The 20,737-nt window shown below is 39.2% G+C and overlaps 1 long non-coding RNA gene across 2 annotated transcripts in view; it reads right to left on the reverse strand.

The window, feature by feature from the left end:
• LOC107987011 (uncharacterized) overlaps positions 1–19,541 on the reverse strand; it is a 71,633-nt gene extending 52,092 nt beyond the window's left edge. The window contains exons 1-2 of one of the 2 annotated variants that reach the window (XR_001746548.2): positions 19,033–19,541; positions 13,807–13,912 (exon numbers count right to left, since the gene is read on the reverse strand). This is a non-coding gene — a long non-coding RNA (uncharacterized LOC107987011). Of the gene's footprint in view, positions 1–13,806; positions 15,956–19,032 lie in introns of those variants that run through there. The other variant, XR_007061697.1, reaches the window with a different exon arrangement.
• Between the last annotated feature and the right edge of the window lie 1,196 nt (positions 19,542–20,737).

A 20,737-nucleotide genomic window follows, 5' to 3' on the forward strand; every position in this document is an offset into this window, starting at 1 on the left:
GAGGAACTCTCTGCATGTGGCATGGTGCCAGTCTGGGGGAGGGGCAGTGTAGTCAAAACAGAATCAGTCCTCTAACTGTTTGGTTGCAGCTTTTCTCAATTCTGTGGTCTAAGGCGATGTCTCAGCCTCACTCCCAAGTTCTGGAATTTTCACATTGATATTCTTGCCTGTGGGTAATTGCTAGTTGAATTTCTGGGGCAGGGAGAGAAGCTAGGGAACTCCTGTTCCACCATCTTACTGATGTCACTCTCCCAACATTATTTTAAGTCTTAAAGAATAGAATAACTTCACTGACATCTGGGAATATTACTATTATTACTTGTTGAAATGTTGGAAATGTGCTAGGTAATTTTGGTGGCAGGCTCCAGTGGAGCTTTGGGAAGGCCTTATTATAAAGTAGTAATCTACTGAGATGCTCTGAAACTTGGGAAACTCTGAATATTCTTGGGTTACTTGAGTTTTTAATTATATTTCTCCCAGGTCCCCATTTTGCATTTCATTTACTATCCTTTCCCCCAGTTTATTCACTTTTGCTCACTGGAATGTCCACCACAATCCTAGTGATATTTTAAGATAAAAATTATTGTAAATGTATCTTAATATTCCAATTTTTTTTTTTTTTTTTGAGATGGAGTCTCACTCTGTCACCCAGGCTGGAGTGCAGTGGCGTGATCTCTGCTCACTGCAAGCTCCGCCTCCCGGGTTCACGCCATTCTCCTGCCTCAGCCTCCCAAGTACCTGGGACTACAGGCACTCGCCACCACGCCCAGCTAATTTTTTTTTTGTATTTTTGGTAGAGATGGGGTTTCACCATGTTAGCCAGGATGGTCTCGATCTCCTGACCTCGTGATCCACCCACCTCAGCCTCGCAAAGTGCTGGGATTACAGGCATGAGCCACTGCGCCCAGCCTATTCCAAAATATTTTAATATTCACATGACCTTTTGGAGGAATAAAACAAAGAGAACTTGAGATTGTGAGAGAAATAATTTGAAACTGAAAACAGGCAAATAAGGTTAGTTAGAGTGTTCTTTCAATCCTCATTGGGGCCTAACTTTCTATTAACTAGGTTATTTTACAACTCTGTAGGGCCAGTGACCAGCTTATAGATTTTTGTCTGTAGAGATAAAAATGATTTTTGTCTGGTAGAACAGATAATCCCAGTGAGTTATGGTCTATGGCCCTGTTGGACACTGATAGGTTTGATATCTAAACTAGCAATCATTCTAATATTGCCCATAAATATAATATTCTACTTCTCAAAATTTCTTTGGAATGGTTTTAACATCTTAGTGGTTCCCTCACTAATGAATGAGTTGAATAAAATCTTTGACATGTAACCAAAACAGCATGGTACTGGTACAAAACCAGACCCATATACCAATGGAACAGAATAGAGAACCCACAAATAAGACTGCATACCTACAACTACCTGAACTTTGACAGACCTGACAAAAACAAGCAATGGGGAAAGGATTCCCTATTCAACAAATGGTGTTGGGATAACTGGCTAGCCATATGCAGAAATTGAAACTCGACCCCTTCCTTACACCATATACAAAAATTAACCGAAAATGGATTAAAGACTTACATGTAAAACCCAAAACGATAAAAACCCTGGAAGAAAACCTAGGCAATACCATTTAGAACATAGGCACAGTCAAAGATTTCATGACAATGATGCCAAAAGCAATTGCAAGCAAAAACTGACAAATTGAATCTATTTAAACTAAAGAGCTTCCGCACAGCAAAAGAAACTATCAACAGAGTAAACAGACAACCTACAGAATGGGAGAAAATTTTTGCAAACTATGCATTTGACAAAGGTCTAATATCCAGCATCTGTAAGGAACTTAAACAAATGTACAAGAAAAAAACAACTCCATTAAAAAGTGGGCAAAGGACATGAACAGACACTTTTCAAAGGAAGACATACATGCGGCCAACAATCATATGAAATAAAGCTCAACATCACTGATCATTAGAGAAATGCAAATCAGAACCACAATAAGATACCATCTCATGCCAGTCAGAATGGCTATTACTAAAAAGTCAAAAAATAGCAGATGCTGGTGAGGTTGTGGAGAAAACGGAATGCTTATACACTGTTAGTGGAAGTGCAAATTAGTTCAACCATTGTGGAAGACAGTGTGGTGATTCCACAAAGACTTAAAGACAGAAATACTATTCAACCCAGCAATCCCGTTACTGCGTATATACCCAAAGGAATATAAATCATTCTGTTATAAAGATACATGCACGTGAATGTTCATTGTAGCATTATTCACAATAGCAAGACATGGAATCAGCCCAAATGCCCATCAATGTTAGACTGGATAAAGAAAATGTGGTAGATATACACCATGAAATACTATCCAGCCATTAAAAATAACTATATCATATATTTTGCTGGGACATAGGTGGAGCTGGGGGCCATTATCCTTAGCAAACTAATGCAGGAATAGAAAACCAAATACCACGTGTTCTCACTTATAAGTGGGAGCTAAATGATGAGAGTACATGGACACATAGAGGGGAATAACATACACTGGGACCTATCAGAAGGTGAAAGGTGGGAGGAGGGAGAGGATCAAGAAAAATAACTAATGGGTACTAGGCTTAATACCTGGGTGATGGAATAATCTGTACAACAAACCTCCCGTGACACAAGTTTACCTATGTAACAAACCTGCACATACATCCCCAAACTTAAAATAAAAGTTAAAAAATCTTTGACATATGTTCATTTCATATTTAAGAGAAAGTAGTAATTTTATATTTTTGAAAGTTATTCTCTAATAAGATTAAAGTACAATACTCCCTACTATTTGATGATAACACTATTTTACATGTCTACAGAAATTTGTAATATGCATCTCCCTTTCTGCAATGAGAATCTCCTTGAAAATTATTACTCTGGCTGTCTTGTGTACCACTGTATTCCTTCTGTCTGGCCTCATGTACTGACCTCCTAGTACATGATAGGAGGTCAATTAATATTTGTTATGAATCTTATTTAACATTCATGTGCTCCTGTAAGGTAGCTAGAGAGATCCTCTTTCTTCATTTTCACAGATGAAATGTATTTGGATAGCTTGTCCAATGTCACACAGTTAGTAAGTTAAGAGAGCTGTGATTCAACCAAGCCTTCTTATTTTTAGGGCAATGCATCTTCTAGCACACCATAATTGTCTCTTATTTTGTAAACGTGCACTTAATACCACCAGACAAATTCAAAATACTTTATCACTAAAGTCTTCCTTAAGTGACTGCTTGTTGTTAGGATGCTCGTAAAAAAAATTTAATATAATTTAATATATAAAATTCACAATTTACATTTATGAACATGAAGCTAACTAAAATCACTGCAATAATATCTAGAGAAATAAGTAAATAAATTTGAAGGAGATGATTTATTATTGAAACACTGGGCTCATTTTTGCCCTAATATAGCAGTGTATCTTGATTAAAGAAAAATCCAAATTATGGGAATTTCATTTTCCAAACAAGTCACAATTAACACTGGAAAATCAAAAGCTGGCTCCAGTCTGCAGCGATAATTTTCTTTAGTCCATATATATATATATTTTTTGGATACCAATTGAATCTTTCCCACCCCATGCTCCCACAAAAAAAAAAAATCAGACATACAAATCACAGAAATTGTTGGCCTTTTTGAAGTATGCTACAGCCTCATTTCTTTCCATTCTTACTGCCAGCACCTATTACAAACCATTATCCTCTCTTCTCTGAATTGTCTCAAAAACCTCCTAGCTGATCTCCATGCACCTGTTCTTATGCTCCTCTCACGTCAACACTGCAAGTAAAGTGATTTTTTAAAAAACACGATCTGATCTTGTTTCACGCTTGCTTAAACCCTCTCTGTGGCCTCTCATGCTCTTAGATTAACCCAATTCTTTAACATGGGCCAGAGGCTTCGCAGGATTTGGCCCTGCCTGACTCTGCTTCCAGTCACTCTTGTCCTTGCTCACACTAACACTTTCCCATTTCAGAACCTTTGCACATTCTAATTCCTCTGCCTGGAAAATTCTACCTTTACCCTCACCTAGCTAACTCCTGCTCCCCATCAGGTCTCAGCTTTCATGTCACTTCCTTGGAGAAGACCCCATGCTCTTCCAGGCCCTGCAACACACTTGTAATTGCTTTGTCAACATCCATCATCCCACCAGACTATACGTTGCTTGAGGCCAGACTTGATATCTATCTGGTCTGCAGCCCTATGTTCAATGCCTAGCCCAGTGCCTGATGCACACTGTGTTTTACCAGCTCAAAGATGCATATTTTTTCCTATTTTTACAAATTTGAAATCAGGATCCATCTTTCAATCATTCATATGTCATAGTTTATTTGGCAGCATTTTTCTTTCCTAGTGTGGGTGAAATAATTGTGTATCTTACAATCAGAAGTATCTTACATTTAAAGAAATGGTGGCTGCCAAATGAATGACTACCTGTAATGAAAATGCCAGTAGTTCCTTTTTTTGTGTGTGTGTGCCTGAACACAGAAATTCTACTACTTATGAATGGCTGGGTTCTGAAAGGCAGTTTGCAAGCAGCGAAGCTAGAGAGCCAGCTGCTGGTTTCCTCCATTGGTAGTGGGTGGCATCGATTTGTCTTTACTCTAGTACTAGCTAGACATTATGCATGTTGGACGTTCACAGGGAGAGGAATGTTGTATCTGGGACAACTCATGCAAGCTCCTGCCTGCTGCTCTGGTGTCTGCTGATTCAACTTCTGTCAACACAATTCCATGTCCCAACCACTGCTGTCAGCACCTCCCCTGCCAAAGCTGATGTCACATCAGCTGCCCCAGCTCAGATCAGCTCCCCCATCACTGTCCTCCTTACACGCCAAATAGCTGTTTCTCCTGGCCAGCTGAACAGAGCAGTCCTTTGGTGTTCAGAAGACATCTTTCTCTATCATATATTCAGATGCCTATGTTGGGAATGCAGCCAAAGCCCTGAGAGAGAAGCAAGGTGCTACAGAGTGCTTGATCACTCATCACATTCCCGCCTTGACCATTGGTCCAGAGCCCTGAGGCTACCGGAATGGGTGAATCACTTCTTCTTGGAATCCCAGCATAACTCTGGGGCAATTCTAACAGAGAAGCAGCTATATATAGGGCCCAATACCTTCCAGTTTTGTCTTTTACATAAAACATTAGCTTGTTTTTCCCCCTTCTTAGGAATCAGCTTTTCCTCTGATGGAGGTTGTTTCACTCTGACCTTATCCTGAGAAAACTCCCTCCTTATCTGTGGGCATGTCTTGACTCTAGCAGAAGTAGACATAAGTAGAGCGGGTTTGTTCATTGACTGTGGCCTTTGATAAGTTGCATCCATGATAGACGAGGCTGCTATTTCTGGGTGTCCGCCCCCATCATTACCCATGCCCGGGGCTTTACAAAATAGCTGGGTTGAATCACACTGACAGAATCTTTTAGTCACTTTCAATTCTGCCAAGGAAATATAGGCATGAGCTTTCAGATTCTAAATTAACTTTGATTCCTACCAGATCCCAGTCCCTTTTAGGTCACAAAGCATCTGAAAACTCAGTTGAACACTTTCATTTAAAAAAAGGAAAGAGAACAGATAAGGGATAAATAATTGAAGCCAATAAAGGATTAAGATCTATGTCAAATAAAGATTTTATCCAAAATGTAAGAAAAACGGAGATCCCAATAAACTATTGAGATCTGTCCAAACTTTCCAACCCTGAATGGAAGCCAAGACAGAAATATCCAGTTAAAGGGGTCACTGAAATGTGGTTGGCTGAGGACTTTCCCCTCAAGAGCAGCTCATCCTGGCATTAGGAAGCTGGGCTGAACAAGGAGCCACATGTGGATTTGAATCCAAAGAGCCAAAGAAGAACATCTGATGAGGCCACAACTGAGAGACCAGGAGCAGGTGTCAAAAGCTGAAATATGGGCATAAGGGATGGAGGGAAAATATTGCAATGTATAGAAACATTAGGCTCCCCTAAGAAAACAAGTGAAATTATCACATGAACAATTTTTAAATGGGGCGCATAACAACACTTGTCAATACTAGAGAAGGGTCTCAACCACATTATGAATTTTTTTTTTTTTTTTTTTTTTGGTGGAGGCGGGGATGGAGTTTCACTCTTGTCACTCAGGCTGGAGTACAATGGCACAATCTCTGCTCACTGCAACCTCCACCTCCGGGGTTCAAGCAATTCTGCTGCCTCAGTGTCTTGAGTAGCTGGATTACAGGTACCCAGCACCACACCCAGCTAATTTTTGTATTTTTAGTAGAGACGGGGTTTCACCATGTTGGCCAGGCTGGTCTCAAACTCCTGACCTCAGGTGATTCACCCACCTTGGCCTCCCAAAGTGCTGGGATTACAGGCATGAGCCACTGCACCCTGGCCACATTATGAATTTTGAGTAATTTCTAATCTTCAAATGGAATAATTGGACACCTCATTGAAGAAAGTCTCCAAGGCAAAGGACAGCCCCAATTTGTGAAGGGTGAAGGCTGGAGGACAGACACGGCCACCAGAGAGCAGGGACCACTTCACTTTGAAAATGCACTTGATGCCATAGAAAAATCTTTGGGAATCAGCTGTACTGGCAGCCCAGGAGAAACCTGTTGCACTCAGCAGAAAACCCAAGACAGCAGGGTTTCACTCTGAGCAGGAGTCTCTCTTAAATGGCTCTGCTCTTTTCTGATATGGCCAGCTTTCCCTGATGTGGAAGACAGAAATACAAGCAGGCTGTCGGTCACAGACACTCTGCCTTCATGGATTGAAGGCTAAGGCAGACAGAGATTTGGGTGCAAGTTTTGTTAACATAAACTTCGCCTTGTACAAGATCCCTCCTACCCATAGGCTGCTGCATCCTTGAATGAGGACTACAATCAACCAGCCCTCCAGTTAAAGACTTAAGGATTCTAGATTCATCCAAGTAAGACCTAAGGAGAATTCACTTGCCTTAATTTTGGGCAAATATAGGACCAAATATTCAGATATAAACACACACACATACACACACACACACACACACACACACACACACACACACACAGTCCACAGAAGGGCTATAAAATATCTCCTACAACTTAGAGGATAAATGTAACACTCAGAGATAGAAAAAGGTTGTTCCTAAAATACACATTTTTCTCAGGCCATAGAAGTACATTTTGGAGAGCATCTGCCTTATACCCTTGATGAAATAAGAGCAAAGCTTCTAAGAAACAAGAAATGAAAGATGAGATGGTAAAACAATATGTTAATATATAATAAGGTAGTTAATGAAAGGATATATGTAAAGATAATGCTACAGAATAATTTGATAATTGGCAGAAGCAGTAAAGGACAGCACTAATTTTGCAGAAAATTAGATCTGTAATGTGGAGGATAAGCCTGAGGCAATCTCAGAATGCATAGCAAAAAGACACAGATTAAAGTGATAAAAGAGACATAAGTGGAGGCCAGAAAATGAAGAAATCATCATGTGAGTTGGCTGCATACTAGCTCTAAAACTGTTTCTTCTACTATAAAATGGGGTGATTAGGAATACTACTCTATGGGGTGCTATAAGGGTTGATTAAGAAAATAAGTAAATTAGAAAGTGCCTAGCATTTAGAAAGTATCAAATAAATGGTAGTTGTTACTACTATTACTACTAATATTATTATTAAATAAATGAGCACAGGGTCATATCAAGAAAAAATCAATACCACTGACTGTGGTCATTTTCCTGAGACTATGAGTTAGATTTTGTCAGCAAGTAGATTTTTTTTAAGAAGGGCTCATAGCTGCTATAGTTCCTGGATTTTTTTTTAAAGAATGTCTGCTTTTTATCTTCATACATAAATTATAATTTAATGAATACAAAATGTTTAGGTAAAACTTCCTAAAAGAATTTTGCATACAGTTTCTCATTGTCTTCTGAGATTAAATGTTACAATGGAGAAATCAGAGACAAGCTTGAGGTTCTTACATGGAATTCTTTATATGGAATAAAAATTGCAGATATAACATTGTCTTCGAAGCTTAGTAACTCAACATATATCTAAGGGTTATTTGGTTCTGTCTTTTTTTTTCCTTTCTGGATTCAGTTCTCTTAACCTGCAGGTTCAGCTTTTGCTTTATTATAGGAAAGTTTTCTTCTATGATATCCTTCAATGCATTTATGTCTTATGTGTTTGTTCTTTTCCAGCAACATTGCTATGCTTATGTTGGTTGGCCTTTATCTTCCATGACCATCATTTTTCTTTCTAACAATTTATATACATCTTTACAGCTTCTTTAATTTACTCAAGCCTCTCCTTGAGCTCTTGAATCTGATTATTGCAGCTTCTAAAGTGACTTCTTTTTCTATAGTGGTTTTATTGTAGTTTTCAGTTTTTTTCCTAAACATTGCCAGCTCACTTTTTCTCCTTTGGCTATCTTAGAATCTCTTCCTTGAGTCTTTATCTCTCTGTTTTTTTTTCAAAGGTGCCATGTTCTTTTTAACTTCTTAAAGGGTGGAACAAGTATTTTTATTTTTATTTTTTAGAGAGACAGAGTCTCTCTCTGTCACCCAGGCTGGAGTGCAGTGGCACAATCATAGCTCACTGCAACCTCGAACTCCTGGGCTTAAGTCATCCTCCCACCTCAGCCTCCTAAATAGCTGGGGCTACAGGTGTACACTACCATGCCTGGCTAATTTTTATATTTTTTTGTAGAGATGAGTTCTTGCGTGTTGCTCAGGCTTCTCTCACACGTCTGGCCTCAAGCAATCTTTCCACCTCATTCTGCCAAAGTGCTGGGATTACAAGTGTGAGCCACCACACCTAGCCTTAACAAATATTTATCTGGAATTTTCTTCTCTATTCTGCAGTAATTTTTCTTCATAGCTTGGAATAATTCCATGTCAGATATAAATTCCTCATCTGGTTTTCACTTTTTAACTTCCTTCATTCTTTTCGTTTTCATAGTTTCTATGCATAGGTACCATAGTGGGTCTTTTAAATTTACCTCTCCCTTGAGAATGGGGTCATTCTACCAGAGGCTGCTACTTGCTCAAGAGTGGTCTGCATGGCTGGGGCAAAGGAGTGATCTGAAATGCTGACAGTGTCTGTCCTGGGTCATTCTTTCTGAATATATTCAGAGATAGTCTTTTTTCTAATTTTCATTGTTTGCCCATTTCAGATAAGCAGACCACCCACACAGGAGGTATGTCTGGCTCGCAGAAAATCCTAACTCACAACTGGAGGCCCATCTCATTTACTTTTAGAGAAATCTGGACCATGCCTGAAATCTGGAGGGTTATGTATCATCTCTCAGCATTCTTCTTCAAATTGATTCCAAATTCACCAATTTGGCAGATATTCTCTCTAGTCTGATTGGTACTTGTAGCTCTAGCTATATTTCTTCTAGATGCATTTTTCTTTTCTGCTTTATGTTCCGTGGATTATTTTAATAGGTTACACACTGGAGACTATAGTAAACAGACTTTTTACCAGAAGTCCAATGTAGTCTTTTAAAAATAAAAATCTGATGTTACCCCATCATTCTGCTGCCTCCATCATCTGCTTTCCACCCACATCTCCCCTTTTTCTCCTTCACTCTTCTGCTTCATGTGACACTTGTTCTGTTGCTCTCCTCTGAAAGCTGTGCCCTTGCGCTTCTTGTTCCCTCTCCCTGGAAGGCTCTCTCCTTCACGCCGTTTCTTGGCCAATTCCATTTCTACTTGAAGCTCAGTTTAAGCATCACTTATCGAGGATGCTTTTTCTGAACACTCTAAGCAAATATCCATACGTGTTCCCCCACTTACTATGTCAAATCTCCCTTCAACATCTGTTAGAAAGTCCCATAAGAACATCTCGATTTCTCTCAATGTTGTAATCATGTGGTTTGGGCAACAAATACTGAATTCAAATTTTTAAATTATAATATTCAAAGGAAGTTTCTCTAATCTACACTGGACATGTTCGCAGCAAAGTACAAATGCATTGTGAATTCATTTGAAGTGTTGCATGTTTGTGTCTGTTACAGATATTCACACTAGAACAAGCATAATTTAATGAGAGTGTTTAATAATAATGGGTGTTCCAGAAACCTGTTTCATAAAGTTCACCAGGGCCTAGGCTACTGCCTGGCACATAGAAGATGCTCAATAAATATTTGTTAAACAAATGAATGATTGCTATATCCTTGAGATTTATCTCTCTACCCAATACATAGTCCAATCTACATCCAAATAAAAGGTAACTAGGAGGTAGGAAGTACCATTGGGGTGGAAGAGAGAATAGTCCCTCAAGATAAATCAGGGTGTTGACTCAAGTTGTTTTGTCAGCTTGTCTCATTTTGTTTTCCTACTTCTTATTCATAGGTAACCACTTTGTAAACCTAGATGCAAAATGGAAAGCCTACAGATTCCATGCTAACGAGCTGTGTGAGACATTCTCAGCATCTCTCCAGGCTGTCAAAGGGCTTAGATCAAGCATTCTTACACATTGCCTAAGCTCTTCTCAGACATATTTGCTCCAGGCTTTTATCAACTGCCAGGAAATGAGCAGCTGTGAGTTCCAAACCTAACAGGTATGTGGAGCGGTCAGCATGTCCCATTCTGATCACTCAGGAGAGGAGACATTGTTTTGGGGTCAACTGTGTCTGATACCCCTTCCCTCTGACCAGTGACCAGCAGGAGTTTGTGTAAGCTCTGGGCTCCTGCTAAACTGGGGGATTTCTGCCCAAGGCACTCAGCCTGGGGACTTCTGCCAAGCAGCACTCAGCTTCCCAGATGCACTTAGCTCCCAGTGCCCAGTGTTTTTTGAAATGTCACGTGGGATTCCAAGGGCAGGCACAGATAGCTCCGGTAGCCTCTACTGCCTGCATTACATGAGTTGGCACTAGATTGATTCTAATGTCTGTGCGCTGTTTAAAATGTGGTTCACTGTGATGCTGAATTTGTTTTACCTTTAGAAAGCTCAGAATTTAATTAGCTTTTTTGTTTTCTTTTCAGCCCTTAATAGTATTGAAAGCCAACGGTTTTAACAGCTCTCAGGTTGTAGCTGGGTCTTAGTTTTTGCATGTAGTGCCTTTTTCCAACTAATTACTTTTTAAATGTAGTAAGAGTTCTTTTTTGCTTTAATCTGTCTTAGATTGATATTACTGTGTTGTCTTTTAAATCGTATTAACTATTATTTGGGTGGCTTTAGGGGTTTTCTAAGTGTTAAGATTTCATTCCATTAGCTAGAATCATAGACTTTTAGAGCTAGGAAGGCTCCTGACATATTTTCTAAATCTCTTCTTTTAGAAGTGAAGCAACTGAGGTAAATGTGTTAAGAGACTGGCTCAGGTTCTCTCAACTAGTGGTGAAGTTGGGATTAGGAAAACCAGGTTCTCTGGTGCTCATTTCAAAGGTATTTCCACTATAGATGCTTATCTTTTAAAGATATTTTCACATGTTGTGCCTCAGAGTCACCACCACCACCTTTAATGAAAATACATCTGCCAACTTGTATGGAAAAGAAAAACGCAGTGAATGATAGGTACAGTCAATATAATATTGTTACTTCCTCACCCAAGTACCAAGAAATGCCAATAGCCATGTCAGAAAGTCAACCAATGGTTAATTAGTACTAAGTGTTTCTGTGTGTTGGGTACAGCAACTGCCGAAATGTAGATGCCCTCGTTTCTTATGATAGGGTCACAGGAGATATCAGAAAGTATAACATTCTAGTAAGCATATTGATGATATTGATTATTTAGATTTCAGCAGTGGATATTGAGGGAGTTGCTTGGCATCCAGACATTTTCAAATGACACATGATAGGTTAAATAGCAGAAAAAGCTGGGTGCAATGGCTCACACCTGTAATCTGAGCACTTTGGGAAACCCAATTGAGGATCGCTTGAGCCTAGGAGTTTGAGACCAGCTTGGGCAACATGGAAGATGGGAGAGACTCTGTCTCTACAGATTTTTTTTTTTCAGAAGTTGGCTAGGTGTGGTGGTGTGCACTTGTAGTCCCAGTTACTTGGGAGGCTGAGGCAGGAGGATTGCTTGGGCCCAGGAGATACAGGCTACAGTGAGCTGTGATCACACCACTGTACTCCAGCCTGGGGAACAGAGCAAGACACTGTCTCAAAAAAAAAAAAAAAAAAGAATAGCAGAAAAAGCCTCATGTTCTTTTTCAATTAGTAATACTGATAGAGTACAATTAATTTAGTAAGGCTTTATATTTTTGGTTATAATAATAACAACAATAATAGTTTTCATGGCATCTTATGGTTTGCAAAGCTCTTTCATATTTACAATCTCATTTAATTGTCACAATCAATATTTTAGATAAGTATCTCCCCTTTCAAAAGATGACATTGAGACTCTAAATCTCATAGCTTATCTGGGAGAAATTAGATTTTAATCCAGCTTCTTTCTATTCAAAAATCTCATGATCTTTCCATCGTCATTTCTTTCTTCAAAATTGATTCAACAAGAGGAAAATTATTAGCCTAATCTATCACATTAATAGACAAAGCAGCAAAAACTGGGTTTTGTGGCTGTATTAGAACAGTGGAAACAGCCTTCTTTGGATGAGTTCGTCCTGGTTCACATTTTGCCAATGAGGGAAACCTGTTCCAGAGGTGGGAAATAGCTCGAACTTCCAGTGAGATGGAGGCAGCTGGAACCTGAGTAGCTCAGATATATCTAGCAGACCACAGCGCTTCTCAGAAGACACACAAAGCCATGGCTTGGTCTTTTTATACTTCTGTCTTTTTAGATTTCTGAAGACTCAGAATGGATACACACACACAGAAAAACACATTATATATAAACAATTTAATATTAATCTCAATGGAGAAACCATAGAAGGGCATGCCCCCTCTAAAAAACAGGATATTGTAGTTTTTAATAGAGATTAGAGATACTCTATAATTAGAGATGCTCATGGAAAGAAATTCCCATAGAAAAGGAAAAGAGAAGATCACCTTCTAAAAATCTAAGGGAATCAATCCCAAACTTAAGTAAGGTAAACAGTTGCAGATGTCAAATTGATACATAATAAACAATTCCTGCGAACCTGAGATAAATTGCCAGAAAATATCATAAAATAGCAACACACAACATCAAACAATGTATTCATTCAACAAATGTTTATGAAGAGGCTACTACATGCCAAACCATGTTCTCAGCACTGGGGTTAGGGCCAAGAACAAAATAGACAAATCTCTGTCCTCAGGAAGTTTTCTTTCTAAGGGAGGGAGACAGGCAAAGCATAAGTGTAAATTGTGTCACACCTATGAATCTCAGTGCTGTGGGAACAACAATGAGCAGGGTAAGGGGAACAAGGACTGCAAGCAATGAGCATGAGATGATACTTTTAAATAAGACGGTCCAGGCCATTGAGAAGGTCGCATCTGAGTCAAGGCCTGAAGGTCAGTGAATTCACCATGTGGATATTTGAGAAAAAAGTGTTCAAAAGACAGAGGAATTGGCCAGTGCAAAGGCTGTCAGGTGGGAGCCTCCCTGTGGGGTTAAAGAAACATCAAGGCAGGGAGAGTCCAGTGGCTTCTGTGTAGATGTTGGGCTGGACGAAGGAATATCACACACAGTCTTGGAGACCTTTGTATGATAGGAAGGATTTGGGCTTTACTCTGAGTACTTGAAGAACTGAGGCTTTATTCTGAGTGAAATACAGAGTCACACAGGTATTCAGCAGAGGCGTGTCACAATAGGACTTGGATTCTAAGCAGATCATTCTAGTGGCTGTGTTGAAGCACATCTCCACTGCCACCCTCCCCTCCTCTCCTACTCTGACTCCTACCTCCATCATCACTTACCTCAATTATTGTGGATAATAGAGGCTTGGGCCAAGGTCAGGGCGGTGGAGGTGATAAAAGAGGACAAGTTCTGGATGTATTTTGAGGGAAGAGGCAACAAGATTTCCTGGGGTGGCATGTGAGAAGAAAAGGAGAATGCTCAGGATATAGGCCTTGACCAACTGGACAGATATTTAATAATTAAATAATACAAGACACATGGGAACTACTGGAAGAAGATGCTAAAAGCTTATGATATACTACTAAAATGAGGACTTTAATGGTCTTGTTCCCCTCTGTATCCCTAGAGCCTAGAACAATGCCTGGCACACAACAGGCACTCAATAAATACTTGTTGAATAAATTCATGAAATTAATAGTAATTATTAAAATCTCCTCTCTGAGCTAAGTTTAAGTTGGCAGTTCTCAAACTCTAGCATGCAATGAAATCACCTCATTAAAAAACAGATTGCTGGACTCCATCCCCAGAGTTTCTGATTCGGTAGGTCTGGGATGTGACCCAAGAATTTGCATTTGTAAAAAATTTCTGGGCCATGCAGATGCCACTGCTTCAGGGACCACACTTTGAGAACCACTGGTTTGAACTATGTGGCAATGTGGTCTGACAGTGGGTACCTCCCCACCAAGCCTGAGGCAAGCTCAACTCCTGCTTCTCTGCAGGCTTTCACACCCCAGCCCTTGTACCAGCTTTCATTGGCCAAATGGCTTCATCCCTTCCTGACCACTCAAGGTTCTTTCTCATTCTTGCTCCTTTGAACTTTTCCTTTTGGTTTTCAGTATAGCCATGTAGTTTTACATTTATAAGTAACATTTCTCCCTCTTTCTCTCTCTGTCTTTCACACACACACACACACACACACACACATTAGCGTTAATAAGCAAAATACTATACCTCATTAAGGCTCTAATGTGTATTTCTTCCAAATAAATATTAACTCTTTATTCTTACCCTATCTGATAGTTTGCCTTTCCATTTTGGTTATGCAAAAACAATTTTAATTTTTATGTGGTAAAATCTGCCAGTCTTTGTTCTTGTGATTCCTGCAATCATTTGTAACCTTCCTTGCTTTCCCCTAAACACCAGAAATTTTATGTTTTTTGCTTATATGTTTGTGTTTGATTGAATTCTTATATATTTGGCCATTTACTACATCCGGAATAATTCACCTCTGATATGAAATGGAGTATAAATGAATTTTCCCCCAAATGGTAATCTACTGCCTAGCACAAGCTGTAGCACACAGTGCGCCCTCACTGAATGTTTCCATGATTACAGAACACATCTCCGTGCTTTGTAGCAAATAATCCTACTCTTCTCCCATTGAATTCTGTTTTATTTGGGGATTTGGATAAGCACAGTGTTCACCATCTTACCAGCCACCACCACTGCCTGCCTATATACACCCTATAGGAAAAGCAAATTTCTCCTGGAAATATTCAGTCCCTCTCAAGCAGTAAATCAGCAGTCAGAGCCCATCAGAAAATAATTAAGCATTAACTAGAGGCCAAAATCCAAATACCCCTATAGATTTCTGACAACAAACAGAGACATGAGAATTGGAAAGGAAGAGGTAAGACAACCTCTATATGCAGATGGTCTGATTCTATATGTAGAAAACCCAAGGGAATTTAGAAAAAAACTTACCACAGATAATAGAATAATGTAGTTAGTAGCACATTATGAAAATCAATATATTCATTCCCCCTGATAGTCTTTTTCCAGAATATCAGACCCAAAAAATGAGGAGACTACACTCTATTGAGAGGCATCAACCTTGTTACAACCAAGAAATCCTTTGTTGATTTTATGGGGGGTTTTGGACGCCATTTTTAGAAAGCAAATGTCTACCAAATAAACAGCATTTATTTTTTAAAAATTCAACATATGGAAATCAATAGCTTTTCCTGAATCTAAACATGAATAAACTGCATCTCAATCCAAACTGAGGCATATTTTACAAAATAACTGGTCCATACTCTTCAAAAATGTCAAAGTCAAGAAAGGCCAAGGAACTGTTCCAGAGTAAAGAAAGTAAAGAGACATGACAACAGAATGCATTGCATGATCCTGAAATAGATCCTGAGCTGGGGAAGAGGAGGCAAAGAGGATAAGCAACATTATTGGTTCAATTGATTAAAGTTAAATATCAGTTGCAGATTAAATAGTAGAGTATGATATTAAATTTTATTAACTTGAAAACTATATTGTGATTATAAAAGAAATGTTCTTGTGCTTAGGAAATACACACTGAAGTATTTAGGGGTAAAAGAACACAATATCTCTAACTTTCAAATGGTTTGGGGGAAATATATATATATATATATATATATATATATATATATATATGAGAGAGAGAGAGAGAGAGAGAAAGAGAGAAATGATAAAACAAATGGGTCAAAATGTAAACAATGACTGAACCTGGGTAAAGGCATATATGTACGTGCCTTGCACAATTTTTTGGATTTTCTATACGCCTGGAATTATATAAAAATAAAATGTTTTATAGAAAAGTTGTAACCTCATGTTTACAAACATAAACTGGTTAGAAAATAAAATGGAAGATAAGGCCTATTTACACCAACACCTAACATAAATCTAACAAATGTCTAAAACCTTACGAGAAAAGTGAAAACATTCTCCAAAGACACACACACAAAATTTTATAAACAAAATAATATTCTTGGTTAGATAGTCTCAAATTCAGAAAGATGTCAATTCTCCCTAAATTAAATTGCAAATTTATTGTGATCCTAATAAAAATATTTTTTTTTCTTCTGGAGCTTAACAAGTTGATTATATGGTTCATTTCAAAAGCAAGTAAGCAAAAGTAATTAGGATATCTCTGGAAAAGAAGCACAAGTGGAGAATGGGGCTAGCCCTAGCAGATATTAAAACATGTTTTAAAGGTTCTATCATTAAATGTGTCGTATTGGCATACAAATAAAGCAATAGAACTGAATAGAAACTCCAGAAATCAACCCAGTTTCATAAGAAAATTTAATGTATGATGAAACAAATCAGTAGTGCAAAAATGATTTGGAATAAATGGATAGCCAGATGGAAAAAGATAAAATTTGAACCATCCCTCACATCATGCACTAGGATAAATTCTAATTGGATCAGAGATTTAAACGTGGAGAGAGGGAGGGAGGGAAGGAGGGAGGAAAGGAAGGAAGGAAGGAAGGAAGGAAGGAAGGAAGGAAGGAAGGAAGGAAGGAAGGAAGGAGAGGAGAGGGGAGGGGAGGGGAGGGCAGGGCAGGGGAGGGGAGGGGAGGGGAGGGGAGGGGAGGGAGAAGGGAAGGAAGGAGGGAAAAAAGAAACCATATTGGTATTAAAAGTATGGGTCAGTCCTTCCATAACCTAGGAATGGGGAAAGGTTTTACCCTATGACTCAAAATCCAAAAGCCATAAGAAAAAGATCGATAGATTTGACTATACAAAAATTAAAAATCATTAAATTTTGCATAGCAGGACACACCAAAAAATAGTGAAAGGCAAATGACAAGCTGAAGAAAAAGAAACATTAACAACTTGTATCACAGACAACAGGGCAATCCTAATATATAAAGCACTTCTAAAAAGAGAGACTAAAAAGAGCAACAACCTATAGAAAAATGAGCAAGAGCTATGTACAGACTGGCATAGAAAAAGAAATGCAAATAGCTCTTGATCATATGAAAAGATGCTCAATATAACTTACAATAAGGGAAACACAAATGAATAGGACACTGAGATAGCATTCCAAAAGTTTGACGACTGACAAGATTAGTGAAACAGGCACTGTCATGCATTGCTGGTGGGAATATAAAATGACATAATATAATCACTACAAAAGGGAATTTGGCCATATCTATCAAAATCATATATGCATTTACCCTTTGACCCAGCTATCCCACTTCTAGGAATCTATCCCAAAGACATAGTGGCAAAAATACCAGAAGAGATATGCACAGGGCTACTCACTGCAGTATAATTTTCTATATCCTTTTGTCCAATAATTGATTGAATAAACTATGATGCATTTACATAGTTGAGACCTAAAAAGGGATAAATATGTATGTGTCTCTGTGTGTGTGTGTGTGCGCGTGTGTGTTTCCTAAAATATACACACACTTTGCTGGGTGCAGTGGCTCACGCCTGTAATCCCAGCACTTTGGGAGGCCGAGGCGGGCGGATCATGAGGTCAGGAGATCTAGACCATCCTGGCTAACACGATGAAACCCCGTCTCTACTAAAAATACAAAAAATTAGCCGGGTGTGGTGGCGGGCACCTGTAGTCCCAGCTGCTGGGGAGGCTGAGGCAGGAGAATGGCGTGAACCTGGGAGGCAGAGCTTGCAGTGAGCTGAGATCGCACCACTGCACTCCAGCCTGGGCTACAGAGTGAGACTCCGCCTCAAAAAAAAAAGAAAAGAAACGAAAAGAAAAGAAAAGAAAAGATATACATACACTTCGTCTTAGCTATAATTCTACTTCTAAAATTTTATCCCATACAAATGATTGAAAATAAATTAAAGTTTGACCGCCTGGATGTTTTGTCATATGGAACAATTAGAAAAAACTTACATGTCCCATAGCAGGGGGTTGGTTAAGTAGAGTGTTTGTAGTGAATACAAAATAATTGGAGAGCTCCCTTCTCCAAGAAGGCTTCCCTGATGCCCCACATTTACACAGCTCACTGTGAGTGCCTCTCTATGGCACTCATCACCTCATGCCTTGCTTTTGAATGATTTGTTTAGGGATGTGTTTCTTCCCTAGACTAAAGTTAATGCCATTCACTACACCAGTGAGCAGTTTGGGAATACCATGTGTTCTGATTCTGGCCAAGGAGCTGTGTGGGAGAGGTTTTTAGAAAGGCTTTTTGGAAAAGTTTTCTTATCCCAGGAGAAGACCACAGGAAAGACAATGCCTTTCTCTTCAAGGCATCTCCATGCTTGAACGGGATGCTTGGAACTGCTGCAGCCAATTGCTTCTGGCCTGAGGTTGAATTTAACACTAGGAATGGCAGAGCAGAGAAGTGGGGGTCCTTGCTGACATCCCTGAGCTGCTGATTCAATCATCCCTGTGGCCCACCTATCCTCTGGAATCCCTGGAACATGAGAGAATGCAAAAATACATTTCCTTTCTGTAGAAGTTAGTTTGGGTTTCTGATCACGGTGGTTGAAAGCCTCCTAAATGAGTCACTAGAAAATGGTGAGCAGTCCAAGCTGGCTAGAGCAGAAAGTACCTGAAAGGAGCTGAAAGGAGAGGTGGCTGGGAAGGTAGGCTGGGAGCAGACCTCACAAGCCCCTGCATGCCAGGCCAAAGAATCTGTAAATAATGGGGAGCCATTGACAGTTTTGGTAAGTAATGGGGAGCAGACTCTCGGAACAGATGGGATAAATATTGGTGCAAATGCATGGTGTAGCTAGCAAAGGACCCAATTAGATTCAGACTTCTCTCTGCTGAGAGAAAAAAATGCATCTTTCGAGCAGCATCTTAACCAGACTGGGAACAGTATGGAAAGGACGTGGGCGTGAGTGACGATCAGGTTCCCGGGCATTGGTCTCAATGGTCACACTCATACACAAATGCTGCCCTTGGCTGCAGCCTCACCAGCGTCATGTGTGAAACCAAACAGTTGGTTTCTCCGCTTTCCTTGGCAATGGCAAAGCCCCAGTTGGAGCCCCGTGTTTGTGCTAAACTCCAGGCGGCACAGTTCTGATTTATAACTTTTTAAAATTATTATAAATGTGATTTCTTTTCATTGTAGAAAAATTGGAAAATACATATAACAAAAAGAAAAAAATAGTTTTTAATCTAGCACCCAAAGACAAATCACTGATAACATTTTGTTGAATCCATTCCAGACTTTGTCTCTCTCTCTGGGTATACATTGAGTAGACAAAAACGGTATCATAACCTATAATCTTTTTTTCACTCAACAATATATTGTGAGTGACTTCTCATGTCAATTAATATTTTCTACAACATTATTCTTAATGACTCTATGAATTTCATTCTAATAAAATATCATGATTTAACCACTGTCCATGGTTCAATATTGATACTATTTCTAGTGTTTGCTATTATATACATAAATGATGTTGCAATCAGTAGCCTTATCCTTTTAGAATGGAATTCCAAAGTAAAATTGCTATACAAAGGCAAAATAACATAAAAATAAAGTTAAAAAAATTCAAATTCTCTTTTTAATGAATTATGTGGTTCTCCAATGTACATTTTTCCAAGCTTAGATAAATGTCTAGATAATTCATATCTATATCTATATATAAATATATACATATCTAGATAATTTATAACTTAAATATGAGTATATATTTAGAATATATATAGAATATATATGATTTGTTCTTCATAATAAAAATAGAACTGTTGTGCTCATCTGAAAATTCAGAAGAAGTATATGTCATCTTGCCCTCCCAACACACACATCTTCCTCCTAAAATTGAATGGGACTAGGTTTTCAAAGCAGAGCTACCGAGCCAACTGCTATCAACAAGATCACCCAGGCATAAAGAGAATCAAGTCATGTTCAAGATGTGAGAGGATTTAGAGGGTCCTCCCTGACTTGGGGATTGGGTGGCTTTTTTAGAAGGTCCAGAAACATCCTTATGAACCAAGCCATGGACTAGATGTGAAGCCTCCCTTGTCCCCTCTCCTACCCTGGGGCCCTGGAGAGGTGCTCTGCTGGCAGGAAGAAGCTTTCAAGCTTGTAGAGTCTCCTCTGATCCTCCACTGTCATGAACTGTACCTATGTGCAGTCTCACCCTAGGGCACAACAGAGACCTAGCATCCCCAGCCTCTTCCACCAGATGATTCACATCCCAGAGGCTCTCCTTATTGCTTCCTCTGGATCATGAGTGCATCAGGACCAAGGCCTTCAAGAATGATGCAGACAACAGCAGCCTCATGCTGAACAATTCAGCATG

Source organism: Homo sapiens, chromosome 9 (assembly GCF_000001405.40).
Source record: "Homo sapiens chromosome 9, GRCh38.p14 Primary Assembly".
NCBI classification, from domain to species: domain Eukaryota; kingdom Metazoa; phylum Chordata; class Mammalia; order Primates; family Hominidae; genus Homo; species Homo sapiens.